This window comes from Homo sapiens, chromosome 1 (genome assembly GCF_000001405.40).
Source record: "Homo sapiens chromosome 1, GRCh38.p14 Primary Assembly".
Classification (NCBI taxonomy): Eukaryota; Metazoa; Chordata; class Mammalia; order Primates; family Hominidae; genus Homo; species Homo sapiens.
This window is the reverse complement of record NC_000001.11, coordinates 227,467,517-227,474,982: the sequence shown is the minus strand read 5'-3', so window position 1 is coordinate 227,474,982 and position 7,466 is coordinate 227,467,517. Positions and strand designations below refer to the sequence as shown.

Here is a 7,466-nt window from a genome sequence, read left to right as displayed (position 1 = left end):
GAAGAGGTGTTCTTGTGTTTGGAATTTTCAGCTTTTTTGTGCTAGTTTTGCCTCATCTTCCTGGATGTATCTACGTTTGGTCTTTGACGTTGGTGACCTTCAGATGGGGTTTCTGTGTGGATGTCCTTTTTGTTGATGTTGATGCTATTTCTTAGCTTTTTTCTAACAGTCAGTCCCCTCTGCTGCAGGTCTGCTGGAGTTTGCTGGAGGTCCACTCCAGACCCTGTTTGCCTGGATATCACCAGCAGAGGCTGCAGAACAGCAAAGATTGCTGCTTGTTCCTTCCTCTGGAAGCTTCATCACAGAGGGACACCTACCAGATGCCAGCCAGAGCTCTCCTGTATGAGAGGGGTCTGTCATCCTCTGCTGGGAGGTGTCTTCCAGTCAGGAGGCACAAGGATCAGGGACCCCTTTAAGGAGGCATCTGTCCCTTAGTAGAGCTCGAGTGCCGTACTGGGAGATCTGCTTCTCTCTTTAGAGCTGGCAGGCAGGAATGTTTAAGTCTGCTGAAGCTGTGCCCACAGCTACCCATTCCCCCGGGTGCTCTGTCCCAGGGAGATGGGAGTTTTATCTATAAGCCCCTGGTTGGGACTGCTGCCTTTCTTTCAGAGATGCCCTGCCCAGAGAGGAGGAATCTAGAGAGGCAGTCTGTCTACAGCAGCTTTGCCGAGCTGCAGTGGGCTCTGCCCAGTTCAAACTTCCCTGCGGCTTTGTTTACACTGTGATGGGAAAACTGCCTACTCAAGCCTCAGTAATGGCAGACGCCCCTCCCCCCACCAAGCTCCAGCATCCCAGGTCAACTTCAGACTGCTGTGCTGGCAATGAGAATTTCAAGCCAGTGGATCTTAGCTTGCTGGGCTCTGTGGCGGGGGTGGGGGGATCTGCTGAGCTAGACCACTTGGCTCCCTGGCTTCAGCCCCCTTTCCAGGGGAGTGAACAGCTCTGTCTCGCTGGCATTCCAGGTACCACTAGGGTATGAAAAAAAAAACTCCTGCAGCTAACTCAATGTCTGCCCAAATGGCTGCCCAGTTTTGTGCTTGAAACCCAGGTCCCTGGTGGTGTAGGCACCCAAGGGAATCTCCTAGTCTGTGGGTTGCAAAGACCATGGGAAAAGCATAGTATCTAGGCCAGAGTGCACCATTCCTCATGGCACAATTCCTCATGGCTTCCCTTGGCTAAGGGAGGGAGTTCCCCAACCTCTTGTGCTTCCCAGGTGAGGTGACACCCCACCCTCCTTTGGCTTGCTCTCCATGGGCTGTACCCACTGTCTAACTAGTCCCAATGAGATGAGCCAGGTACCTCAGTTGGAAATGCAGAAATCACCCACCTTCTCTGTTGGTCTCGTTGGGAGCTGCAGACCAGGGCTGTTCCTATTTGGCCATTTTGCCAGCCACCCCTAGTTGCTTCTTAACTTTCTACTCTGCCTCTACTTTGCCTCCCTGCTATGGTCTACTCCCCCCAAAGCAGTCAGCATAACTTCTTAAATTGAGAGCACTGCACTCCCCTGCTCAAGATATGACAAAAGTTACCCATAAAACTGGAATAAAAACTTGACTTCTTCCCATGGCCTGCAAGACAAAAGGCCCTGTGAGTTATGGCATTGCCTGTGTGATCTCATCTTCTCCATTACTTCCCTCATTTCTCACTCTGACCATGCTGGCCCCCTTGCTATATGTTCACTGAACACATATGAAACACATTTCTGTCCCAGTCTTGGCACTCACCTCAGTGCCTGTAATGTCCGTGCTCCTTCCCTTCCTCACTTTTGTCAGGTCACTTTTCAAATGTTACTTCTCTAGAGAGGCTCCTTCTCATTCGATCTAAAATTAAGAACTCCTCCAATCACTCTGTTTCCTTTTATCCCAATTTCTTTTCTTGCTATTTGCCACTACCTGAAAAAAAAAAATGTCTTCTTCATTAGGCCATAAGCTCATAAAGGCAAAAACTGTGTTCAACCTGTCCTCTCTACTCCAGCACTTAGAAGAGTGGCAGAGTCAGCATTCAGTGTTTACAGAGTGAACAACTTCCTGGCAGCATTTAGCACTGTATCACAGCCTCTATTATCTTGAATTCTTTGTTCTTTTAGTAACCTATCCTGCTTTTCCTCCTCCAATTCTACCTACATATCTGAGGGCTTGTTCCTTACATCCTGATAGTCCTTACAGGCCTATCTTCTATTCACTTTCTCTCTCTTTTTTTTTTTTAAGAGATGGGGTCTCACCATGTTGCACAGGCCACACAAAAATTCCTGGGCTCAAGCAATCCTCCCACCTCAGCCTCCCAAGCAGCTGGGACTAGAGACATTTGCTACCATGCCCAGCATGTCCACTTTCACTCTACACACTTTCTCCACATTTAAGTAGCTACTCATACTGCTCATTCATTACCTCTAGCTCACATTCAGGTTCCAGTCCGGTATATCCACATGATGACTGAACACTACCACTCTGCTATCTCACAGGGACATTAAACCTAATTCATCTACAATGAACTCCTTCTCTTCTGATCCAGCTTTCCCTCCAGCATCACCTATCTCTCTACATCTGGAAACACCATTCCTGTTTTCCTCCATCATGTGCTAAGCTTTCTGAATGGCTTGAAGCTTCATGAAAAGGCCTGTGTCTTATCCAGTGCCCATAGACAGGTTTCTTTTCAAGTGCACAGCAAAAGTGTTCTCTCCTAAACTCTAGCTGGTTGCTAACAAATCATGTATTGACCTAAGTGTTCTTCTCCTCCAGCCCAAGCAGTTGATCTTTTTCTATAGGCTTGCTGTTGAAAGGAATAAAACCCAACTGTATTAGTCTGTTCTCACACTGCTATAAAGAACCACAGAACCACTTGAGACTGGGTAATTTATGAAGAAAAGAGGTTTAATTGACTCACAGTTCTGTATGCTGTACAGGAATCATGGCTGGGAGGCCTCAGGAAACTTACGATCATGGCAGAAGGTGAAGGGGAAGCAAGCACGTCTTAACATGGTGAAGCAGGAGGGAGAGAGTAAAGGGGGAAGTGCTACACACGTTTAAATAACTAGATTTCATGAGAACTCATTCAATATCATGAGAACAACAAGGAAGAAATGTCCCTATGATCCAATCACCTCCTACCAGATCCCTCCCCCAACATTAGGAATTACAATTTGACATGAGATTTAGATGGTGACACAGAGCCAAACTATATCATCCTACCCTGGACCCTCCCAAATCTCATGTCTTTCTAACATTGCAAAACACAGTCATGCTATCCCAGCGGTCCCCCAAAGTTTTAACTAATTTCAGCATTAACTCAAAAGTCCACCTCCAACATCTCATCTGAGACAAGGCAAATCCCTTTTACCTATGAGCCTGCAAATAAACAGTTACAAGATATAATGGGGGTAGAGTCACTGGATGAATAAACCCATTCCGAATGGGAGACATTGGCCAAAATGAAGGGGCTACAGGCCCCATACAAGTCTAAAATGCAGCAGGGCAGCCATTAAGTCTCAAAGCTCTGAAATAATCTCCTTTGACTCCATAGCTCACATCCAGGCCATATTGATGCAAGGGGTGGGCTCCCATGGCCTTGGGAAGCTCTGACCCTATGGCTCTGCAGAGTAGAGCCACCATAGCTGTTTTCACAGTCTGGCATTCAGTGCCTGAAGCTTTCCAGGTACACAGTGCAAGCTGTCAATGGATCTACTATTCTGGGGTCTGGAGGATGGTGGCCCTCTTCTCACGGCTCCACTAGGCAGTGCCCCAATGGGGACTTTGTACAGGGGCTTCAACACCACATTTCCCCTCTGAACTGTACTAGTAGAGGTTCTCCACAAGGGCTCCACCCCTGCAGCAGAATTCTACCTCAACATCCAGGCATTTTCATACATCCTGTGAAATCTAGGCAGAGACTCAAAAACCTCAGCTCTTGCCTTATGCACACCTGCAGGCCCAACACTACATGAAAAACACCAAGGCTTGGGTCTTGCACCCTCAGAAGCAATGGTCTGAGCTGTACCTTGGCCCCTTTTAGCTATGGCTGGAGCTGGAGCAGCATGGACAGAGGGTGCCATGTCCTGAGGCTGCAGAGAGCTGCAAGACCCTGAGCCTGGCCCATGAAATTATTCTTCCCTCCTAGGCCTCCAGGCCTGTGATGTGGGGGGGGCTACCACAAAGGTCTCTGAAATGTCCTGGAGGCATTTTCCCCATTGTCTTTGCTATTAACATTCAGTTAATCTTTACTTACGCAAATTTCTGCAGCCTTGAATTCCTCTCCAGAAAACGGGTTTTCTTTTCTACCACATGGGTAAGCTGCAAATGTTCCAAACTTTTCCACTCTTCTTCTCTTTTAAATGTAAGTTCTAGTTTCAGGTAATTTCTTTGTTTATGAAAATGAATGTAAGCTTTTAGAAGCAGCCAGGCCATATCTTGAATGCTTTGCTTCTTAGAAATTTCTTCCACCAGATACCCTAAATCATCTCTCTCAAGTTCAAAGTTCCACAGATCTCTGTAACAGGGGCACAAAGCCACCAGTCTTTTTGCTAAAGCACAGTAAGAGTGACCTTTACTCCAGTTCCCAATAAGTTCCTCATCTCCATCTGAGACCAGCTCAGCTTGGACTTCACTGTCCATATCACTATCAGTATTGTGGTCAAAACCATTCAACAAGTCTCTATGAAGTTCTAAACCTTCCCTCATCTTTCTATCTTCTTCTGAGCCCTCCAAACTGTTCCAACCTCTGTTTGTTACCCAGTTCCAAAGCTGCTGCCACATTTTCAAGTATCTTTCCAGCAATGCCCCCCTTCTCTGTATTAGTTCTTTCTCACACTGCTATAAAGAACTACCTGAGACTGGGTAATTTATAAAGAAAAGAAGTTTAATTGACCCACAGTTCCACAGGCTGTACAGGAAGCATGGCTCAGTGGCCTCAGGAAACTTACAATTATGGTGGAAAGTGAAGGGAAAGCAAGCATGTCTTGCAGTGGTGAAGCAGGAGAGAGAGAACAAAGGGGGGAAGTGTTGCACACTTTCAAAGCATCAGATATAATAAGAACTCACTATTGTGAGAACAGCAAAGGGGGAATACGCCCCCATGATCCAATCACCTCCCACGAGATCCCTCCCCCAACACTGGGAATTATGCAATCCAACGTGAGATTTGGCTGGGGACACACAGCCAAACCATATAACTGTTTAAATAAAGGCAAGGTAGTAGAAAATGTCTGTGGGACTATCTGAAAAAAGGTTCTTAGGAATATCTCTGTGAAGTGGCTTGGAGAAATCACATTATTCTGAAATGATTCAGAAGAACAAAGTACACTATTTACGTCTGATTTTTTTCTAAGTAACCAAAATAATTCCATTCTTCATTGTAGTAAAACTAAAATGTTTTACATCTAAGTAGGAATTTCTCAGTTTCCAAGTAAACTGATATAAAATTGTCCAAACTAAAGATATTAACAGCAAATTGTTAATGTCCTGCCTCAGTTTCTATGGAAACTTAGGAATTGTAGGCAAATGCTGAAATTGAGGTTTCGCTTATCACTTTATTGAATGCCAGAAAAATAAATTTCAAGAGGCAAATTGAAATGAAAATTTAAGTGTCATGCAAATAAACATAAAATGTTAAATTCTGTGCTCACAAACTATTTTTTTAACTTTTCTGATTTAACACTCCTTATTATTGTTCTATGCTTAAGGCATGATACCTTACCTCTCCTGTCTCCAGCTTCTCTTGTCCAGGAAATTCTCAGCTTCAATTTACAGTGACAAGAGAAAACTCTTTAAAAATTATTAACCTGCTTGATTGGTAAATTTGGGTAATTTTATTACCTCTACTTTTATCCGTATCTGTTGAAATTAATGTATAGACATAAGATGGAGCCAGGCAAGATGGAATATATCAGTAATTCCAGCTACTCAGGAGGCTGAGGCAGGAGGATCACTTGAGCCCTGGCCAGAAGACTGAGGCCAGTATGGGCAACACAGTTAAGACCCCTTTCCCTTTAGAAAAAAAAATGGACAGGTAAATGTTGCCTCTGAGTTGTATAAAATAAGCTTTTAATTGAACTAATCAAGGTGGAGTAAGTTCTAAGAGATAAGTTTACTTTATAGGTAAAACATACAATGTATTCCACAGTTTTAAAGTTTAGGAACTGAATTAGGCATCGCTACCATCTCCATGTCAGTTTCAGGGTACTTACTATAGAACCTTAGTTCTGTTCAGTAGCTGTCTTACATAGTCATTTCAGATCTCAAAGTCTTTGTTTTTTCATCATCAATACAGGGAGAATATACACAGGCCTTATTTGTGTTTGGAAGGGCCAAATAAGATGTACATTAAAATGTGTTGTACATACTAAAAAAAGACATGAAGAGCCTATTTTGGGATCTCATCCAGCACTACCCATCTACCAACTGGTGTGTAAAGTCACTGAGGTTTACCTTACACCACCAAACAGAGCATAAATATTCACAAGTACTTCCATACTTTGTGCATAAAGTTACAATCTATTAACACAATCTATTCGTTCTTTCACTATTATTGAATATTCTGAAAATTGAATATGGTACTTTCCAGTTATAAAGGCACATACATCATGAGCTTTAATTCTTCTTCTTCTTTTTTTTTTTTTTTTTTGAGACGGAGTTTTGCTCTTGTTGCCCAGTTTGGAGTGCAGTGGCGCGATCTCGGCTCACTACAACCTCCACCTCCCAGGTTCAAGTGATTCTCCTGCCTCAGTCTCCTGAGTAGCTGAGATTACAGGCATGCACCACCATGACCAGATAATTTTTTGTATTTTTACTAGTGATGGGGTTTCCTCATGTTGGCCAGGCTGGTCTCAAACTCCTGACCTCAGCTGATCCACCTGCTTTGGCCTCCCAAAGTGCAGTGATTACAGGCGTAAGCCACCATGCTAGGCCTAAGTTTTCTAACTTTTAAAGAAATTAAGAGCCCAATCAAAGTTTAAACAGAAGAGCTATAAGACATTTTCTCTATACTAATGAAATATCTGGCATTTATTAAAACAAATGAGACAACCAGATTTAACTATCTTTATGATACAATGTTTTCTATTTCAAAGAACTTAGTTTTTATTCAAGAACCATATTATTCAAAACCATTTCTACTTAAATTCGTTCTTTTTCTGATGGTAAAATATTAAAAATTTTCTTTCATCTCCCCCCTTTCCATCCCTATCAGAGATTAGAGTTTGAACTCTAACACTCTCATCTTTGAACATAATTCTGTTGACATGAGGAGGGAGCTATGGAAACAAACACTTGAACAGGCAGCATCTGGCATTTTAAACTCCCAAACCTTTACATCACAAATGTAACTCTGAATTTATGTTCCAGCTCTTGAAATTTTTTTACTATGAACCACCCCTCCACTTTTAGAACAAGGAGGAAAATGAAGTCCAGTAAGTCACCAGAGTAGATCTGAAGATATATTTGGGTTAAAGAGGAAATCTTAAAGCAATCAAAACA

The 7,466-nt window shown here is 43.2% G+C and overlaps 1 annotated feature.

The window, feature by feature from the left end:
• Positions 278 to 777: an enhancer, noted in NCBI's record as "H3K4me1 hESC enhancer chr1:227661907-227662406 (GRCh37/hg19 assembly coordinates)". NCBI's record gives its function as "activates a minimal SCP1, AML or CMV promoter by ChIP-STARR-seq in naive H9 embryonic stem cells {active_cell/tissue: H9 hESC(naive)}" and the evidence as "EXISTENCE:reporter gene assay evidence [ECO:0000049][PMID:30033119]".